Source organism: Homo sapiens, chromosome 9, assembly GCF_000001405.40.
Source record: "Homo sapiens chromosome 9, GRCh38.p14 Primary Assembly".
Classification (NCBI taxonomy): Eukaryota; Metazoa; Chordata; class Mammalia; order Primates; family Hominidae; genus Homo; species Homo sapiens.
In genome coordinates, this window is record NC_000009.12 from 127,346,878 (window position 1) to 127,367,712 (window position 20,835).

Below are 20,835 nucleotides of genomic sequence, written 5' to 3' on the forward strand. Positions count from 1 at the left end.
GGAACAGTCTGCACTTAGACATGAAAGCCTGGAGACCACATTCTCACCTGGTGGAATCCACATGAAGGCTCCCCCATGGAAGGGAGTCCAGGGCAATGGCAAACACTGTCTGTCGTCAGACCAGAGCAACTGTGGGACCAGATCTGAGTTTGCTGCTGACACTGCACGCCCCAATATTCAACAGTTCCTCAGACCTCACATGGTCACTGGCACCCGTGTAAAGCAATGGACACCCTGCGTGCACCTGCCCATTAAAATGGGGCCGGGTGCAGTGGTTCATGCCTATAATCCCAGCACTTTGGGAGGTTGAGGCCGGAGGACTACTTGAGCCCAGGATTGGAGACCACCCTGGGCAACATGGTGAGACCCTGTCTCCACAAAAAAAATTAAAAAAATTAGCCGGGCATGGTGGCTCATGCCTATGGTCCCAACTACTCAGGAGGCTGAGGCAGGAGGATCACTTGAGCCCAGGAGGTCAAGGCTGCAGTGAGCCATGTTCACACCACTGCACTCCAGCCTGGGTGACAGAGCAAGACCTCGTCTCAAAATAAAATTTAAAAAAAGGTAAAATGGCATATATATGCAGCATTTGAGTACAATTTTGGGGGTTTCACAGACCTCCTTGAGACCTCTGTGGATCCTGTAGGGCCCTTGAATCTTATGGGGGAAGAACTTCTTTCTGCCTTAGTGTTCCAAACTTGTGTCTTCTGGGCAGAAAACATATTGTTACTAAGAACTGGTTGTTCTGTTGGTGTTACCTAATGCTGATGTCTGTGTCTTCTCCCTATTGACATTTATATTAACTTTGCTTTTTTTATGTCCTTTTGGTGTAAGTCACAAACTCAGAATTGCCAGAAATTTTCTTGGGGAAACGTCATTTCAATTAATGACCTGCACTTGTTTAGCCTTTTTTCCATTTACAAAATGTTGTCACATTCTTTAGGGGATCTTTTTAGAACATCACAAGTTCCATCTTAGCAATTGGAATATTCTTTTTGAGACCGTGCATTTCCTAAAGGGAGAGCATCCTTTCCTTTTCTAAGAGAGCAGTAACACACAGCATTTACCCTCAGCCCTAATGCCGTTTTCAAAGGTGGTCCTCAGAGCCCTTTGCTTTACCTTGAGTATGCAAATGCATGTTTGCTTGGGTACTTAAGAACACACCTACATGTGCACATGCAGGCTCTACTACAGCCCCAGGTGGGACACATCAGGCCCTGATGCCTGATTGAGAGTAAAAGTGAAGATGTAAGACTTCAACTTGGGCCTGAGAATCTCCACAAACTGAGGCTTATCCAGTGCTTTGGAGGGAAGCTAAGAATTCTGTTGAAAATGTCCACAATTCTGGTGTGACTAAGATCATGGAACACAATGCCTCCTACTCCACACATCCACGTGTGGCTCTAAGGCTCCCCCTTTATGCCTGAGATGGAAATGAACTAAGAAGAGTTTGCTTGGTATAGATATGTCATGCGGAAACCTGACTAGCTCTGTTTACAGCTCTTGCCAAACAGATGTTATTTTTTCTTTAAGATTTTGTATCTTATGTGGGTCAATAGGCATTTTCACGTGAAAACAATATCAACCTTTTAGTGCATCATGTATGTTTTACTAATTTGCTGAATCAGCAACACAGGAATCTGACTTTTTTATAGAATTATGTGGGACTTCCTTTAATGATGAACTAATATGAATTCTCTAAAACAGAGGCACCATTTGGCCCAACTCCCAGGTGTTAAAGCAAAATGCTTCCTTAGAAACCATTACGAATGCGTCAATTGCCTCTGAAAAACATTATAATACAGAGACAGGTTATGGTGCCAGAAACCTGTGAATTCACTCTTTTCCTATTGCATACGTATTTGAAAGGAGACTTTTCTTCCTAAGAAAGGTAATTGAGTCCAGACCCCAGGGTTTGGAGTGACTCCGCTCCCACGGGGGTATCTGTGTTACTGTTTCAGGTGTGGTACTGTACATTTCCATTTGGTGGGCTGCAGTGTATTTTTTCTGGTGCACTTATCTTCCGATGCTTGTATTGCCTCACAGCCGTGGGAGCCCCAGTGTTTCTGCAGTAATTTCCCTCATGAAGCCGTGTGTGCAGATCCCTGGGGCCAGGCCTTGCTGGTTTCCACTGATGCTGGCGTCTTGCTAGTGGATGGTTAGTGAGTAGCTGCTCCTACAAATGTCTTTTTCATGTAACTTGTAGTACTTCTAAGATGAGTGACCACCAACCAACTCCCTTTGGGCCATAAATGTGTGATCTGCAGAGAGTTTAGCGAAGTTTTATTTCCTTATGAAATTAAACCCTTGTTTCCAGGGCAAGCAGAGGAAATATACTCTGAACCAAGCATGCTGGAGGGTGGGCCATAGGTTCTCTTCCCAAAATATATGATGGGACTGTGGATATCAAATGACCTGCAAAAAGAATCTCCTTTTCAGCCAATACTTATTATCACTCCAACATTTTACTTTAAATCAACAAGGATACATTATTTAGAACCACTGTCTCTGGGACATTCCCTCTCTCGAAGTCTTAAAAAAAAAAAAAAGATTTCTGATTCAAAAAGTACTGATGTCCAAAACAAACAATAAGAATCTTAGATAACCCATTTTTGATGGATATAGAAACAAAAAGATTTTGACAAGGAGACAGATTCCAGCTCAATATAAAATCACACATTCTGACAGCCAGATAGATCAGCCTTCCTGGGGAGTTAGTCAGTTCTCTGTCGCCACAGATCAGCCACCGTCGCCCAGAGAGGGTGCAACTTCAGAGCAGGTGTAGACTCAAGGACAGTGTGGTCCCTTCCATCAGGAGTCCCCTTTAGATTATTCCAGACCCTGAATGAATGACAGAGGAGCTAAACACTAGTAACAGGTTGTCTCCTGGGCTTCAGAGGGAGCCATAGGCACAGAGACAATGTCTCCAAAGGGCATTTCCTCGGACTGCCCAGAAACAGCTGCCCAGTCTCTGGTTACCGTAGTGACATTTTGTGAGAATCCCAAAGCCACCACTGTGAGAATGACATAATGGCCTAAAACTGTGGCATCTTCCCATCCTTCAGTACAACCTATACGTCCTCCCTCCGACGCTTACTGGGCACATTTACCGAACACCTGCTGTGTGCCGGGGCCCCACGCCAGGTGCCTTCTGAAGCATGATAGGAGATGTGGGCCGTGCTTCATAATGGATCTATTTCTGACCTCATCTGTTATTTTTGATATGTGTTTCAATTGTGTGCCCATAGTCATTGTATCTATAACGAACTTAAGGCAGATAATTTAAAATTCATAAATTTATAATTTAAATTCAGTATGTAATTTTTGAAATTACAAAATGATTGGAAACTGTGATCTGAAAGAAAACCTCTATGAGCCTCGAGTTTCTCTAAATTGGAGATAATTTTTTAAGATGCTGAGAATAGTTTATAATGATGAAAATCGGTGAAACAAAATGGGATGATGATCACAACTAGAAGGAGGGGATTGTAGGGGCTAAATAAAGTTATCTGTATTAAGTGTTTACATAGTGGTTGGCACATAGTAGTAACTTATTAAATGGCAGCTATTATCTTTACTATGTCTCTATGAACTTGCTAAGAGGTAATAAAATCCTTCCGGGCGCAGTGGCTCACGCCTGTAATCCCAGGACTTTGGGAGGCTGAGGTGAGCGGATCACAAGATCAGGTGTTCGAGACCAGCTTGGCTAATATGGTGAAACCCTGTCTCTAACTAAAAAAATACAAAAATTAGCCGGATGTGGTGGCGGATGCCTGTAGTCCCAGCTGCTCAGGAGGCTGAAGCAGGAGAATCACTTGAACCCAGGAGGCGGAGGTTGCAGTGAGCCAAGATCGCAGCACTGCACTCCAGCCTGGGCAACGGAGCAAGACTCCATCTCAAAAAAAAAAAAGTAATAAAATCCTTAGATCTTGCCAAAAGTGAAACAACAACAACAACAAACAAGAATGCAAACAACAGACTTTAGAAGTTTAGTGCAGTCTGTTAGTTTTATTGATGAACAAGCTGAGGCCTAAATAAATGATATGAGTTACCCAAGATCACAAAACTGGTTAGTGGCACGTCTGGGACTAGTACCCAGATGTGATTGTTAGTCCAGGGCTCTTTCCACTAAACCAACTACATTATATTAAACTCTACCAATGTCTCTAACACAGATTTCCAAAAATATAGCCCTGGGCAAATAATTATGAAAAATTTTGTGATTTAAAGAATGTTCACTCCTTCCCTTTTGCCCTTTTGGGAAAGAGAAAGCATGCTTCATAATGACTATTCGTAAGCTTGCCTAAAACCAAAAGATTCTATTTGAGTTGCCTCTATTTTTTTAAATGCAAAATCCAAACCAAAATTACCAGGTTCCTTTCTGAAATTTTTATCTTAAGGATCCAAAATTTAATGGAAATGTCAGATGTAAGGAGTATTGTGATTTGCCAGGAAATTCTTTCTTCCAAATTTGAAGGAAGTCGCCTTCAACAGGATGGTGGGTGTAGCTGTTTACACCCACCATTGCTTTGGTTTATGATTTAAACTAGTTTTTTCATGTCCTTATTGTACAATGATGCTTCTGTTTGTTTTTGCTTAAAAAAAAAAGAAGAAGAATCTTCAGGGCCTTCTTTATATTTCTTGTTGTGCTTTTAAGCCACAATTCTCTTATTTCTTTGTTTACCTTTCTCTTGTCTACATTTAATCATATTATGAAATGTTTCCATGAGTGAATCCATCCATTTTGTTTCAGACTGAGTTCCACTCTATCCCATTAGCCTTTGCTTAATTTCATTAGATGTATCCCTTGAGAGTCTACTCCTTTCAAGGTCATTATTAAAAATCAAGACCTTTTGTATCCTAAGTTAGCAAAACCTACTTTGAAAGGAAACTGAATACTGATTAAATATGCTCTCGCCCTGTGTTTTGGTTTTGCAGTAACAGAAAAGCTGGTTCTAAAAGATTGTTCTTCATAAAGAGATTACAGGAAGGAAAGCATTGTCATCAATCAGTCATTAAATCCACCTGTCACTCTGTCAGGTCCTTGCCTCCTCCTCCTTCTTGTGTTGTATACAAACCTGTTCAGCCATCTGAGAAAGACTGGATGGAGATTAAGTGCTAATTCACTCTGTACACAGCTCGGCAGCTGTACAATGTATACCTCTGTTCCTATGTAAAATGAAGGGCCTCTGTCATTTATTAATTCCCTGGAGTGCTGTTGCTGCTGTGGTCGCATCTCTATCCACTGGGATATGGGGCTGCTCCAACATCCCATTTTATGTTCCAACACTGGTGAAGAGAGCATGGCTTTGTCCTTGCACAGGCTTGGGCTCCACATCCTGGAGGTGTGACCTCAGACAAGTATTAACACCAGGCCTCAGGCTCCTCCTTTGTTCAATGGGAGTATTATAAGTTCCTACCTAATAAGGTCATTGGGACATTTAATTTAAACATATGAAACCCTAAGCATTAGGGTCTGGCATATGGAAAGCCCTTAGTATATGTTACCTGTCCTTGCTGTGACTGCTCTTCTCCCACAAATGGAATAATTGTAGTTATTTAGCCAACTATGATGATGGGTATGAGGATGATCGTCCAGTGTTTTGAAAAATTAAGTCTGCCCCAGCGGAAGTACAAAGACCCTGAGAATTAGTTCCATTTTGTGGGAGCCCAGGGTAGAGGAGGAAGAAAAGTGGTTGATGAGCTATCATAAAATTTACATTTGCCCCAGTAATTGAGAGGAACAAGAGACAAGCCCTAGGTGTAATACTAAGCTTAGCTTAGTCTGTGTTCTGACAAATCTGAGCCCTCAGAGGCCTGCAGGAGTGGGAGCTCCTCTCCCCACTGTGGGGGCAGTTATTAATCCTGATGGTGAAAGCTCTGCTCCCTCCTGGACCATCCAGGACGGGATGAACTCCCAACCACACTTAGATTTCTGGAAAAGAAAAGATCCTCAGGGCCCCTTGCTCCTAAATTTTAATTAAACCCAACCCCACAGCAGAGCATTTGCAGAATAAATGCAGGTAAAGAATGAGCCAGCCACTTCTCCTGCCCCAAATGTCTCCACCATCCCGGACACCTCTGCCTTGCCCTGATTCTGCCATCCATCTCAGAACAGACCCTTTTGCTTACAGAACTGAATGGAACAGCCTTAGTAATTATTTTAGCCCCCTGTGTCCTCGGAGCCCTCAGGAGCAAAGTAATTGTTAGCAACTTAGATTCTCAGTAAGTAACCTCAACAACAAATCCTGTGTGGAAGTGCAATGTCTTGAACCATCCATTTATTGGAGATTTCCCTGAGCATTCCCACTTCAGTTCGTTTTTCCTGCTGTTTTGGCAATTTAGTTAATATTTCTCTTTATTTATGTTTTTGTCTAAAAAGGAGATTTCCTATTCCTTTGGGAAAAAATACTGAAAATGTATAGGCAAACTACTACTGCTACAAACACGGGACATATTAGGGTAGAGTGTGTTTATATTTATCTTAAGTCCAAAAGGAAATTTTAATTTTGCTTTCTTGAGGTATGTACAATATGACCTAAGATATAATGCAATTTCAAATATTACATAAAAATGAGAAAATACTTGAGAAAAATGGCTGCTCTTTTTTTTTTTTTTTTAACTTGGTGTTCAGGCCTTTGGTACAACCCTAGTAAAAATTGGTATTGAGAGATGTTGCTTTTTCTTTGATGAACAAAAATAGCGTTTTCATGCCTCTGCTGCTACGCCCCCTATATAGAGTTCGGGATATAGAATTGCCTATGGGAAGAAAGCATCAGTACTTCTTCCTGAGCTAGGAGGAGAATAGTGCTTGAATGTATTTTGTAGAGCTTATGAAAGCCCTAGAAGCTGACTTCCTTCCTTGCCTAGAGATAACTTGGGTTCAAAACTACCCACAGGCACGTTTGGTGGGTTCTGGAAAGCGTGGGCTGGGTTGCAGTGATGGGTAACCAGGTTTCCTTTTCCAGATGACCTTCCATCAGTGCCCGTGTTTGACAGAACTCTGCCAGTGAAGCAAATGCATGTGCTTGAGACCCTGGACCTTCTGGTTCTCAGAGCAGACAAAGGTGGTATTCCCTGCCGGGTGGCATGCTGTGGAGGAAGGAAAACAGTTGCCTTCTGCGGCCCACACCACAGGTCGCCAGGGTCTGACTGCATAAGTTCTGCCAGCTGTTTCCTTTCCTGATGCTCAGTGCTTGGGATCCCTCAGTGGCCCCTTTGTTCTCTGGGGAGGGAAGCCGTTGGGGGAAAGGGGTGCATACGTAATTGCATTGTCAGGTTAAAGTGGTGTGGGGTGCCTCCTGAATTCCAGAACACCTCCAATCCTAGTTTTTCTACACAGTCTGCCCCTGGAGGCCCTCCAGGTTACCTTACTTTTCCATTTAATCTCCTCCTCTGTCTTTTTTATGTCACCAGGAAAAGATGCTCGCCTCTTTGTCTTCAGGCTAAGTGCTCTGCAAAAGGGCCTTGAGGGGAAGCAGGCTGGGAAGAGCAGGTCTGACTGCAGAGAAAACAAGTTGGAGAAAACAAAAGGTGACTTGATAGATTGGTAGATTCCATTCGATTCGTTTTTTTTTTTCCTCAGGCTGCCCAGGTTTTACTGAAAATAAAAATGAGTAGGAATTTGATCTTATTAGTTTGTTTTTTGTTTGGAAACATCACAAAAATAGCATCACTGTTTCCAGAAGGAGCTTGAAAGCTAGACAAACACATTGAGGACTAGAAGAAATTCTAGGCCTTGCATAACAGGTTCTAGAGATGCATTAAACTCTATTAGCAAATCTATTACTGAAGAAATGTTTAGACTGGTTCCCAGAGCTCTAATTACTTTAATTGATGTCATGTCGTAGGTATGAAGTTAAGTCCACAAACTCTAGAATATAGGAAGTAGGACTTTCTTTCCTTTCCCTTCCTTTTTCCTTTCCTTTCCTTTCGGCAGAGTCTCACTCTTGTTGCCCAGGCTGGAGTGCAGTGGCACAATCTCGGCTCACTACAACCTCCGCCTCCTGGGTTCAAGCGATTCTCCTGCCTCAGCCTCCTAAGTAGCTGGGATTACAGGTGCCCGCCAGCATTCCCAGCTAACTTTTGTATTTTTAGTAGAGATGGGGTTCCCCCAAGTTGGCCAGGCTGGTCTCGAATTCCCGACCTCAGGTTATTCGCCCGCCTCGGCCTCTCTAAGTGCTGGGATTATAGGCGTGAACCACCGCACCCAGCTGGGAATAGGACTTTCTTAATTTTCCTGTAACTCAACCTAATTTTAATATGTAGTCTCCATTTTGCCTAGTGTCGGAAACATTCTCAGTCCATTCACTGAGTTATGCTTAATTTCCAGGGTTCCTAGGTATTGCCAAATTGTCAAGGTCTGGGGGCTTCCACACCCGCATGTCATGTGTAAGGCATCATTTCTTTCTCCTCCCAGGCTGCCACCTGTATGCTATTAACACTCACCACAGCAGAGAGCTGAGGATTGTGGTTGCAATTCGGAATAAACTGCTTCTGATCACAAGAAAACACAACAAGCCAAGCGGGGTCACCAGCACCTCATTGTTATCTCCCCTGTCTGAGTCACCTGTTGAAGAATTCCAGTACATCAGGGTAGGTTTGCTCTTTAAATCATTTATCTCCCAACCAAGTTGTCTTGAAGCAGACTCTGTCCTTCCACCCAGAGTTTGTTACCCACTGAGGTTGTCCCACTGTTTAGTAGCCAACTAGGGAAACCCTCATCTCTGGTGCCCTTGTTTCCCCCAGAAGACTAAAGCTAAAGCTCATTCATTCCAGTGAACATCTACGGGTGCTGTTCTAGGTACGAAGGACACAGCGATGACCAAAACAAAGTCTTCTGATGGGGATTACTTTCCAGTTGACAGTTAACAGAAATAAGCAAATAAAGCTATGATGGCTGGCATAAAGAAATACTAAAATTAAACATAGAGGAGGGCCAGGGAACAAAGGATAATGGAGCAGGGAGTTGGGAGATTCTGTTTAGAAAGAATGTCCCAGGAAGCCCTCTCTGAATAGGTTACCTGTGAGCAGAGATCCAAAAGAAGTATGGGAGTGAGTGATGAGGGTATCTAGGGAAAGGATATTCCAGGCAGAGGGAGCAGCCAGGCAAGGGCCCTGAGGTCCTGTTGAAGGCACAGTCAAGAGCAGAGGGAACAAGGCAGGCAGGTCAGAGAGAACTGGGAAATATACTCTTGAGCCCTCAGGCCATTGCAAAGACTTCGGCCTTGACTCTGAGTGAGATGGGAAACCACTGGAAGGTTTGAAGCAGAGAAGTGGCAGGTTTTGAAAAGATTGTCCTGGCTTCTGGGTAGAGGGGAGCTTAGGAGGCCAAGGGTGGAAATAAGAAGGCCTGCCACGAGACCAGTGCAGCATCCTGGCAAGAAAGGTTGGTGGCTTTGGTAGCAGGAGAGATGGGAAGAAGCCGTGGGCAATGCTTTCCTGCTTGCCTCAGTCAGCGGGATTTGCTGGGAGATTGAAGGGGGAGCTTGTGAGAGAAACCTCCAGGCTCAAGTTCCCTCCCTGACATCACCATCTCTTATCTTTTAAAGACTAGGGTACATTAAGGTATGGAATATATCTAGCATTGGCCACTAAGATGGAGTATTTCTACTGGAGAGCTGAGAAGGTATTTTTTGCTTAGAGTTAAAGCCTTTTGAATTATGCCTATCAATTTCTGCTAATGTTCAACTTCAGGGGACAGAGCAACATGACAGTTAAGTTAAAACACGTTAAAATCTTGCTCTACTTAAGTGTTAGCTTTCTTCCTATAGTGATTTGCTATTTTAATGAAGATTTACATGCAGCATATACATTTATGTAATATGAGCACTGAAATTAAATCTCCTGAGTTTATATCTTAGCTCTACCCTGTGTAAACTTTGTGATGACTTTTAAGCCTCAGTTTCCTCATCTGTAAGACAGAATAGTAGCTGTACCTACCTTATAAGTAGGATTCAATGAGAACAGTGCCTAGCACATGTTAAGTACACAAATAGATTAGTTAGCAATTATTAATACTATTACTGAATCCCAGGACAGGACCAGACGACATAAGGGATAAAGCAGACCATACTGTTGATTGCATTTTGTTTAATTGTTTCCTGGCCTCGACCCTTTCCAGTAGACAGAGGCCTGAGTCTTGAGGACAGGTTATGGGAAGGAGATGTCGGATGTGACCCCTGGCACTCCTCTCTTGTCCCTTCTTCCCTGTAGCACGGGGCTCTGCAGGAGCCTGGAGAGGGTGCCTTCTCTGTAAGGAGGGAATGGGCAGTGGGGCTTGGCATGGAGCTGGCTGCTCTGTTCTCACCCCTGTCTCTTGTATCCTCACCAACCACACAGGAGATCTGTCTGTCTGACTCTCCCATGGTGATGACCTTAGTGGATGGGCCAGCTGAAGAGAGTGACAATCTCATCTGTGTGGCTTATCGACACCAATTTGATGTGGTGAATGAGAGCACAGGAGAAGCCTTCAGGCTGCACCACGTGGAGGCCAACAGGGTAAGCCAGCGGTTGTGGGGACAAGTGAGAATCAGAAAAGAGTAATCATCGTTGTGTATTCTAACCCTGACATGCCATGATTTGGATTTCTTTAAAATTATGTACTATTCATCACATCAGTATTATGTGATTCACTATTTAGACTGAGCCATGTGAAGTTACCATTTTTATAGGTCAGAATGGTTCTATCTATTATCATGTGACTGTCCCATTTGCCCTGTTTAGTTTTCAGATCTTTCCTTGCCATTCCATCCTTCCGAATAAAAGAGATATGAAAAGGCCGGGCACAATGGCTCACGCCTGTAATCCCAGCACTTTGGGAGGCCGAGGCAGGAGGATTGCCTGAGCCCAGGAGTTCGAGACTGGTCTGGGCAACATGGCAAGACCCTGTCTGTATTTAAAATTAAAAAAAAAAAAAGACATGAAGAGTCAAAAGGCTGACTATAATAACTAAATAAATGAGAGCATTTGTTAGATGATTTGTCCTGGGAGGGTCCTTGGAGAATAAGCTTGACCTCTGAGGCACTGCAGACTCTCATCTTGGGGACTGGGTGTTTGGGGTGGGTACTGCACCCTCCCTACCCCCTTAAAAACCCACTAGGAAAGGAAGAAGGGGTGGAAACCCATTAGGAGGGAGTGAGCAGGCAGATTTGCCCTGAGAGTCTACACCCCTGGCCTGATGCACAGAGAACAAGGATGTCCTAGTGTGGCACAAAATCTAGGGCCACCCAAAACTGCTCTCATGTTCTAAAGGTGACTGTGTGGGGTTTGAACCTTGGCGCCCACTGGACAGTGGTGAGCACTCACCACCCTGAGGCCTGGCAGCCTGTCTGTCACTGGAGAGCGTTCAGCACTGACACTGACATTAGCAGATCACAGAGCTTTTCAGCCCACGTATGTATCTCTGTGAGGCAGGACAAGGCCTGCTTGTCAGTGAGCCATTGAGGTTTGCAGCATGCAGTGCAAGCCAGTATTCTGGCCTAGGTACTGAGGAAACCACAGAATGGGGATGTCAGCCCCAGGGAGACTAACTCCTAGTGAGGGCTTCCAGACCCACAGGCTACCTCCAGTCCTGTTCAGCTAAATCAAACAGACTGCAGAATTCTTCCAATTATGCTTTACAACTTGTATTAATTGTAAATATGCTCTGTATAAATATTAAAATTGCTAATTACTATTTTAGGAAGACTTAAGACCTAATTAGAGCAAGATTTTAAGAAACAGAAAAATAAGAAATAGAAAACTGTAGTTGTGATTAGGAGACCTTCTTGTCTTCAGCTATTATTGATCATAGAGTGGTCTGTCATTTCTCTTATCTATATTGGTGGTGGCCAGACTTGTCTGCAATTGGAGTCATCTGAGGAGTTTGAAAATATACCACTGCCTGTGTTCCTCCTCCAGGGATTTCCTGGGTCTGGGGTGTGGCATGGGTTTGGGTATGTTTAAATGGTCCCCAGATAATTGTAATATTTAGCCAAGTTGGGAATCCCTGGTATATTTCATTGCTTTGCAACCCTGGCTGTCATCCCTTGGAGAGCTTTAAAAAGGTCAGTGTCTGACCCCAGGCCAAGCCAATTATATCAGAATCTGGGGGGGTGTGGTACTTGAGAACCAATATTTGTTTAAGTCTGCCCCCAGGTGATACTAATATAGACCTAGGAGAAGGAGTGGGTCCTGAAACTTCCTAATTTAAAGCTGGGAGGAATGCCGCCCACTCCCCCCACCCGCCGCCCCCCACTGCCTGGGCATCCCTGGACCAGCATGTCTTCCTGCCACTGACTTCTGAGGAGCTGGAGCCCTGATTTGTACTTTAAAAGTTCTCACCCTCTTGGCCGGGCACAGTGGCTCACACCTGTAATCCCAGCACTTTGGGCGGCCAAGGCCGGCGGATCACCTGAGGTCAGGAGTTCGAGACCAGCCTGGCCAACATGGCGAAACCCCATCTGTACTAAATATACAAAAATTAGCCGGGTCTGGTGGCACACGCCTGTAATCCCAGCTACTCAGGAAGCTGAGGAAAGAGAATCGCTTGAAGCCAGGAGGCGGAGGTTGCAGTGAGCCAAGATCGTGCCACTGCACTCCAGCCTGGCGACAGAGTGAGACTCCGTCTCCAAAAAAAAAAAAAGTTCTCACCCCCTTCTTCCTTCTCAAAACTGTGTAAGCAGCCAAACAAAGCAGAAATGCCATGGTGCAGCAGGTCCTTGTTCAATCAGTCCTTTTCCTGGCAGCTAGTTTCCTAAGACTTAGCCAGCTTTTGCTAGTGGAAAAGTCCTCACCTCATTTCAGAGAAACTTTCTGACAAGTTCTATTTTAAAATAAATCATGCTTAAGTGGCTGAAAATTATGCAGTTTACTTACTCATCAGGGTAGCTATAGAGAATATCATTTTATTAAATTTCTTTTATATGGTGGTTTTTATTATTTACCTATATTTAATGTCCTATAATTCATTATAGGATTTCTTTTTCCTATGATTTGTAAAGACCCTGGATAAATTGGGTTAAAAACCATTTTCTTTGATGACTTCTGTGCTTTGTTTTTTGGATGGCTGTCAGGAACAACTCTCAAGTTTTCTGTCCTCTCTTCTATGTGCTTCTTAAAAGACAAATATACAAAGTTTTTTCCTAAGAGAAAAAAAAATGTATTTTTGTTGTTGTTGTTGAGACTGAGTCTCGCTCTGTCGCCCAGGCTGGAGTGCAGTGGCGCAATCTCGGCTCACTGCAACCTCTGACTCCCTGGTTCATGCGATTCTCCTGCCTCAGCCTCCTGACGAGTAGCTGGGATTACAGGCACAGCCACCATGCCCAGCTAATTTTTGTATTTTTAGTAGAGACAGGGTTTCACCATGTTGGCCAGGATGGTCTCAATCTCCTGACCTCGTGATCCCGCCCACCTTGGCCTCCCAAAGTGCTAGGATTACAGGTGTGAGCCACCGCACCCGGCCAAGAAAAAAAAGTTTTTAAGGAAAAAAAAACCCTTCCCTATTTCCTGGCTCTGAGAGGATCAGCGTGTACAGCCCTCCCGTGGTAGAATGGCGGCTGCACAGCTCCCAGCAGGCACGGTGCAGTGCACAGCTCCCAGCAGTGCTTAGTCAGATGCACTCACTCATCTTTCAAGGAGGGTACTGTCTGTCTGGGGAGATGAGCCCTAAGAAAATGAAAAAGATAATGAGCTGTATGTTTTCTAATAGCTGGTTAGAAATAGGCCTTGTGGGAACAGGACTAGCTTTTTACCAAGATGTTCCTGCAGCTCAGCACCCAGGGCAGTGGGGACAGGAGAGAGAAGCTGACACAGCGTAGGTCATTGGAATTTCATTTCCATTCCGTCTACATTCGCTGCCTGCCCGCCTCTGTGGGCACCAGTGTTAACTGGGCAGGCCTCGCTTCCTGCTCCCATTCCTCCTCTCTTAGCCAGGACCACTTGATACCTATTTCAGGCTTGTACCCACCCCGGGTTCTGTAACAATCCTAGCTCAAGAGAGGAAATGTTTAAGAAGCACTAAAGCAACATTCTGAAAGTCACTGACAAGTTCACTGTACCAGTGGGCCTGCTGTGACCCACTGCCGCTGCTTTAACCACCAGCACTGACCTCATTCCCAAAACCAAGTGCTCCTCTAGGGGGAACTGCAGGCATAGCCATGGGATCTGGGTCCCTGGTTTATGGGAGGGGCTCAGGTCCTCATCTTGACGTCTGCCCAGAATCCAGTGGTTCTCAGCTGGGGGCTGAGCCCAGAATCACAGGGAAGGCTGAAGGCAGAGCCAGCTAGGAGAGGTACAGTTCCTACTTCACTTGTTACAAGTCTGTGTTTTGAATTTTTACAACCACCATACATTATTTGTTATCATTTTAAAGTACCAATAGAATGAACTACTTATTACTTTTTATTTTTTTTAAGAGAGAGAGAGAGAGAGAGAGACAGGGTCTAGCTCTGTCCCAGGCTGGAGTGCAGTGGTGCAATCATAGTTCAATTCTCCCTCGTTGGCCTACCAAAGCACTAGAATTACAGGCGTGAGCCACCATGCCCAGCCAGAACTACTTATTGTTAATCAAACTTATGAAATAAAGATTTAATGCCTATGTCCTACAACAGACCTGCCATATCAGGGTCTCCAGGAGCAAGAACCCCACCAGGCCCCTGTCCCAAGGTGGAGACAGACACCTATATCAAAGCATAAAATAGATCTCATTGTGCTAAGTGTTAATAAAGGTCTGAATAATAAAGTGCTGTGGCATGCCTGAGGAGGAAGTGGTTAAGGGTTAAGTCCAAGCCTGTTTCTGAATCCTGGCCCTGGGGCTGAAGCCTGCCACCACCTGTCCTGCAGCCCAACTCTCTGAATATTGCCACGTCTGTCTGCCTGTCAGCACAGCGTTGGAGCCCCTTGGTAGACTTACTTGATGCCAAGTACCCCCCTGGTGTCTGTGGTCATTGTGCATAGATCTTGGTCTAAAAGGCTGCCTGAACTTCCTCCATACGTGTCACCACTGCCACCCTCCCTCACCCCACCCCAAACACACACACAGGCCTTATCTCTAAACTAAAAGCCTGTCTAGTTCCACCTTTCCCACTGCAGTCAACCCTCCCATAATTATAATAATTGTGGCCATCACTGAATGGCCACCTCTGTGTACCAGGCCCTGGGTCAGAGCATGTCATAAGCGTTATGTCTTGGAAGGGGCTCTTCATTTCTCCTTTTTTTTTTTTTTTTTTTTGAGACAGAGTTTCGCTCTTGTACCCCAGGCTGGAGTGCAAGGCACGATCTTGGCTCACTGCAACCTCCACCTCCCAGGTTCAAGCGATTCTCCTGCCTCAGCCTCCCAAGTAACTGGGATTAGGTGCCCACCACCACACCCGACTAATTTTTTTTTTTTTTTGTATTTTTAGTAGAGACAGGGTTTTGCCATGCTAGCCAGGCTTGTCCTGAACTCCTGACTTCAGGCCCACCTCGGCCTCCCAAAGTGCTGGGATTACAGGCATGAGCCACCATGCCTGGCACATTTCTCCATTTTTATTGAAAAGGATACTGAAGTCAGAAAGAAGAAGTCACTTACTTACCCCAGAGCACACAGCTAGTAAGTGGCAGAGGCAGGACTTGGACCCCAGCTGGCTGACTCCAGAGACCATGTTCCCACAGCTGGTGGGGATAGCAGGTCCAGCCACAAAGCTGGTAGCACTCGGCCCCTCCCGTGGAGAAGCTCCCAGTCTGGCAGAGCAGACACGGTGCAGCACAAAGCCTCTAGCTGAGATAGTGAAGTAAAACTAACATGTACAGGGACATCTGAGGAGGAAGGGATTTTAAGTCAAAGTGGTGGGGCCAGGAAGGCTCCTTTCTGGGGTCAGAGGAGACTCCAGGACCATCCTTCATGTAATATACCCATTGGTGCTGGTTCCTTATCTAAATAAAGGTATCAGCCAACATTGAGCATTTACCGAGCTCCAGGCCCTGTGCTAGGTGCTTAGATAAGTTACCTCCTGGAGTCCTCAAGCCAGTAGGCCTAGATACTCTTATTTTCTACCATCTTACAAACGAAGAAACTGAAGGTCCGAGAGGGGAAACAACTGGCGTGAGTGCGCATGCCTCTGAAGTGATGGAGCTGGGATTTCATTTACTCACTTGCCCATCCGATGAGTTTATTCTATCCCTGCCACCCGCCAGGCCCTGATCTGGATGATGAGGGGCCAGCAGTGAGCAGCACAGACAGGCCTTTGCGTCATGAGCCTTAGATCTCATGGGGAGGGGAGCCACAGGGAACAAACAGACAAGAGAGCACCAGAGGGTGAGGGACACTCTGCAGAGAGCCTAAAACACAGGGCATGATAGGAGCCATGGGGATTATTTTGGATTTGACAACCCCCGGGTCTGTCCAATGCCAGTGCTGGAGCTCTTGGCCACTGGTCCTCACTGTCACTCCCTGCTGAGCTCCTGCAACTTTTGGTTGAGGCATTTGCCCCATTATACCTTGTTTTATGTACTTATGTGCTTTTCTGGTTTTTTTTCTTAAGGGGTCAACCTCACCTTATTCTTTTCTGTATCCTAGTGGCACTGAATACAGTGCTAGATAATGACAGATGGGAGAGAGCTGGGGATTCCATTGGAAGGGGCACCCAAGCCCAGGCAGTGGCACTGGCTGAGGATGGCCAGTTGGGGCCTTGGCACCATAATGAGACCTTTTAGAGGTGAAGGCTGTGTTCTGGTGACACCAGTGAAGAGAAGGGTCAGCCAGTGCAGGGCCAGTGGGAGGAGCACAGTGTGGACGGAAGGGCTGGGACAGAGGAGCCAGCAGGAGCCCACAACATGGTGCTCCTGTGAGGAGGTCAGGGCTTAGCCTAGAACAGCAGCAGGGGCACAAAAAAACACCTGAGAAACTGTATGAAGAGGCTGCTGCTGGACTTGGGTTGGAGGTGGCCCTGAGACTTTGAGAATAGTTATGCTAACAAAAAGGAGGAGTTTTAGAAGGAAAGCTGGTTGTGTGGGAGATAAAAAGCCAATAGCCTTCACTGAGTGCTCATCATGCATGAGGCCCTGTGCTAAAATCTCTGCCTTGTCTCACTGAATTCCCATTACAATCCAGCAGGGTCAGTGTTCTCATGATGCCTGCTTTACAGACGAAGACCTAAGGCCAGAGGCTAAGCCATTTGCCACACACCACAGAGGCAGTAAGTGGCCTAGACAGGGCTTGATCTCCCATCTGTCTGCCCAGTCTGTGCCCCTCCAACCACCCCACCCCCAATCCACTACCTCCTGCTTTTAATGACTTGGATGTGGAATCAGTTACATCTGAGAACAAACGACATAGTCTAGGGGCTGCAGCCCTGGGGAGAATGTGTGCCTGAGCCCGTGAATTTAGGGTTTTGGGCACAAAGCAAAATTTGGAGCTATAGAAGTGGGGTTTTACTAAGGAGAGAAGAGCCAAGAAATTGAAGAATAATCTGAGGTGGGAGAGAGGGCAGGAGGCAGAAGATGTCACCCATCAGAGGCTGCAGAGGGCAGGATGGATAGATGAGCAGAGGCCAAGGCCTTCGGTTGGGGAGAAGGAGATCTTGGCTGAGCTCAAAGGGTGGTTTTCCTGGAAGCACAGGAGGCCAGGCTCTAAGGGTTGAGAATACAAGTGAGGAAGTGAAAGGAGCAGGAGGCTCTTAGAGGGCTGGAGTTTTGAAAATCAAGAAGGACCAAGGACACCATCAGGTTGAGTGCCCTCCTCTCAAATGCAGAAACTGAGGCCCAGAGAGAGGAGTTTGCCCCAGACCACGGAACTAGGTGTTCTGACACCCTTTTCATTGCACCATGCTGCCTCTCTTGACATGAAGAACAGAGAAAGAATAAAGTGTGAAGACATGCCGTGGCGATTTTAAGGTGCACAGACTTTATCTGTTGGAGGCAGAAGGATGCCTCGCTGGAGGTACGAGAGCGGTAAGGTTGAAAGAGAACCAGAACATTAGTTCAGATGTTGGCTGTGGCGTGTACCAGTCAAGGGACTTAAGTGACTTCACCCTGAGCCTCACTTTCATCTTCTGTAAAATGATAATTATACCATAATGTCAATAATATTAGGTTGATGCAAAAGTAATTGCAGTTTTTGCCATTGGAAATAATGGCATATAAACCTGAGGCATTTCAATAGAGAGAGGAGACATACCAAACACAGAGCTTCTCAACGGCTATGAAAAGATGATGAGAAAGTCCCAGAGAAGAAAGAATGGAGAGACTTTTCTTTCTTTTTTTTCTTTTCTTTTCTTTCTCACTTCCATTGTATTATAATCCCAGCCCCCAATGTGCATTGTGGGTGCTGGTGGGGCAGACATGACCCTATGGCACCTGCATGACAGAGGGCCTCGGCCTCCACAAATGCTCACAACTTGTAAAAGTCTTTTCACAGGGTCAGCATCCAGCCTGCCCACTACCGTTGCCCGTTATCATTGCAGGTTAATTTTGTTGCAGCTATTGATGTGTACGAAGATGGAGAAGCTGGTTTGCTGTTGTGTTACAACTGTAAGTTAAGGATGTGCTTTTATCTTTATTTGCTTAAATGGACTGCTTTTTTTTTTTCTGGGCAATTTAAAAAGATTGTCCTTAGATTTACCCAGTGTATCATTCCTGGGTTTGTAATTGCCTTCCAGGAAGGAACTGAAAAATACCTTCCTCCCTGAGTCTCCCGCTGCGCACCAGGCCTCTTGGTGACACAGTGCAAGAACTGGCACTTGTGATGCTATCTCCAGGATGCGCCAGTGATGACAATGGCTTCCAGTTAGGAGGCCCTTACTGTGTGCCAGGTGCCGTGCTCGGTATGCTGTGGTCATTGTCTCACTTGATTCTCACAATGAATGCCCGCAGCAGGCTCGGTTATTATCCCCAGTTTAGAGATGAGGCAACTGAGGCCTAGAGAGGTGAACTCGTCAAGGTCTTGTGGCTACTAAGCAGCAGGGCCAGGGTTTGCATCGGGTGCTCTCTTGACTCCAGCACCCACAATTTTAACCACTGTCGCTATTCTACATTTTGCTGTTTCTCAGGTATTAATGAAATCAGCCTCAACCCAGGGTATCCAGCCTCAGTTGGCCTAGTTTGGATTAGGTGGCAGGGTAGGTGTTGGGCAGACCAAAGGTATCAAATGGGATCTTTAAGGATTTTCAGCATTTCAAAAGCTAATATTATAATACATTTTCATAAAAATGATGTTTTAAGGGTAAAAGAAAAGAAGTAAGCTATTTTCCTAGATAAAGCTGCCCAGTCTAACAAGACATAAAACATGTTTTTCGGCCTAGGATTTTATCAATTTAGAGTGGTAATGCTGGGTCAGATGTTTTGATTAATTAATCTTTGATTAATAAGTATAAGAAAGCTAATTATTAGAAGAGAAGGTTGTTTTATAAACATCATCTTTCAAAATTCGAGATTTATGGGGAATAAATTAGGAGAAGGTGGTTAAACCTCTTCAACAATAAATTGCTCTTTGGGGACATTTTATGCACAGAACTGTGCACCCTCCTCAGAACAGCAGGTCTTTAATGGCCCATGTGATGAGAAGGGCCCCATCAAGGCAGCAGGAATGGGCCACTCTCCCACACCCCATGGGCCAGGCCACTGCCACTCCTGCTGCCCTGCATCCCCAGGTTTATGGCTGCATGGTAGAAGTCACTTCTGTAAGAAATTCACCTTTCTAAAATAAAGTATGCTCTTTTTTCTGAGACATCTATAGAATAACTTGTGGCAGAGTGTTTTAAAAACTGATTTGGATTTTTTTTATCCTTTAACCGTGTGAAAGGATGGAAGGGATTTTAGGTGGAAGAGAAGTTAAGAACAGAAAGATAGAGCAGGTTTTTAGAGTGGGAGAATTAATCCCAAAGAAAAAGAGGGCATGGAAACAAATGTGGATGCCATGGGCTCTGTGCCAGACTTGCCAGTGCTGACTGGAACAGGCCGGGCTCCTCACTCAGCGGCTCCTGCCTCAGCTGTGGTTCCCGCAGCCTCTGGGTCTCACGGAACCCTTCCTTGGGAGTTCCATTTCTCATGGCTTTGCTCATCTTCCGGCTTCAGGCTCTGACTTCATCTCAGGATGGGATCGGTGTGTGTCTGTTTTCATAGATCCACTACATCAGAAGTATCTTTACATCTCTGTATCTTTACATCCCAAGGTCAAGGCCCTGGCAACCTCAGAGGTTCCCATAGCTTCAGTCTTCCCCAAACCATGCCACTTCCTCCCATTTCTTTGGGTCAGGAATCTGGCTTTTGTTTTCCATATTTCTTTTTCCCAAGACATTGGGAGGCATCTGGTGAACAACACCAATAAAACAGTTCTCTCCCCACGGTCATCCAGGTCACTTCTCTAACTCATTCCTGCACACACAGCACACGTGGAATTTGCCTGTTTAGTCTATGTTCTTGACTTGATCACAGACGCCTGTACAATAAAGCCCCTTTTCAACAAGGTGCTGCAGAATGATAATGCTTTCCCCAAAATCTGAAACTGATTTGTATCATTGAAGTTTTTTTCTGTATTAAAAATAAAGCAAAATTAAAAATAAACTTTATGTGGAGGAATTTTTATCTCAGATATGTTAGAGTTGAAAATATTTTATAATGGAGATTGCAACTTTCAGTTATGTGTTATTTGAAAAAAATATATATTCACTTGGTAACCTTTAGGGGAAAAAATAGTATAAATTGTTCAATATGCTACTAATATTGGGTTTTTTAAATAATTAAACTCTATTTTTATTACCAGAATCTGTCTTTAACTGTTTAAAAAGACAAAGAAAAAGAAAACTTGGCTCTGCCCTTAGCACCCAGTAATCATTCACCTTTAATGCAAGTAATTTCAGTGCTAAGGGCAAACTCTTG

General features: G+C 44.9%; 1 protein-coding gene across 17 annotated transcripts in view, besides 1 other annotated feature; it reads left to right on the forward strand.

Annotated features, from left to right (window-relative positions):
* The window catches only part of GARNL3 (GTPase activating Rap/RanGAP domain like 3), a 169,048-nt gene that overhangs the window by 122,265 nt on the left and 25,948 nt on the right, over window positions 1-20,835 (forward strand). For 14 of the 17 annotated variants that reach the window (NR_104591.2, XM_047423963.1, XM_011519086.4 and 11 more), the window contains 6 exons: window positions 2,047-2,158; window positions 6,969-7,067; window positions 7,417-7,533; window positions 8,420-8,595; window positions 10,342-10,500; window positions 18,423-18,489. Coding sequence is in view for 16 of the 17 variants with exons in the window: in XM_047423963.1 (XP_047279919.1) it covers window positions 2,047-2,158; window positions 6,969-7,067; window positions 7,417-7,533; window positions 8,420-8,595; window positions 10,342-10,500; window positions 18,423-18,489 (730 nt within the window). In the remaining variant the exon portion in view is untranslated. Of the gene's footprint in view, window positions 1-2,046; window positions 2,159-6,968; window positions 7,068-7,416; window positions 7,534-8,419; window positions 8,596-10,341; window positions 10,501-17,711; window positions 18,490-18,617; window positions 20,521-20,835 lie in introns of those variants that run through there. The other 3 variants (XM_047423967.1, XM_047423968.1, XM_047423966.1) reach the window with 2 other exon arrangements.
* Window positions 1,193-1,487: a silencer, noted in NCBI's record as "tiled region #1510; HepG2 Repressive non-DNase unmatched - State 13:Ctcf, and K562 Repressive non-DNase unmatched - State 22:ReprW". NCBI's record gives its function as "represses a minimal TATA promoter and a strong SV40 promoter by Sharpr-MPRA in HepG2 and K562 cells {active_cell/tissue: HepG2 | K562}" and the evidence as "EXISTENCE:reporter gene assay evidence [ECO:0000049][PMID:27701403]".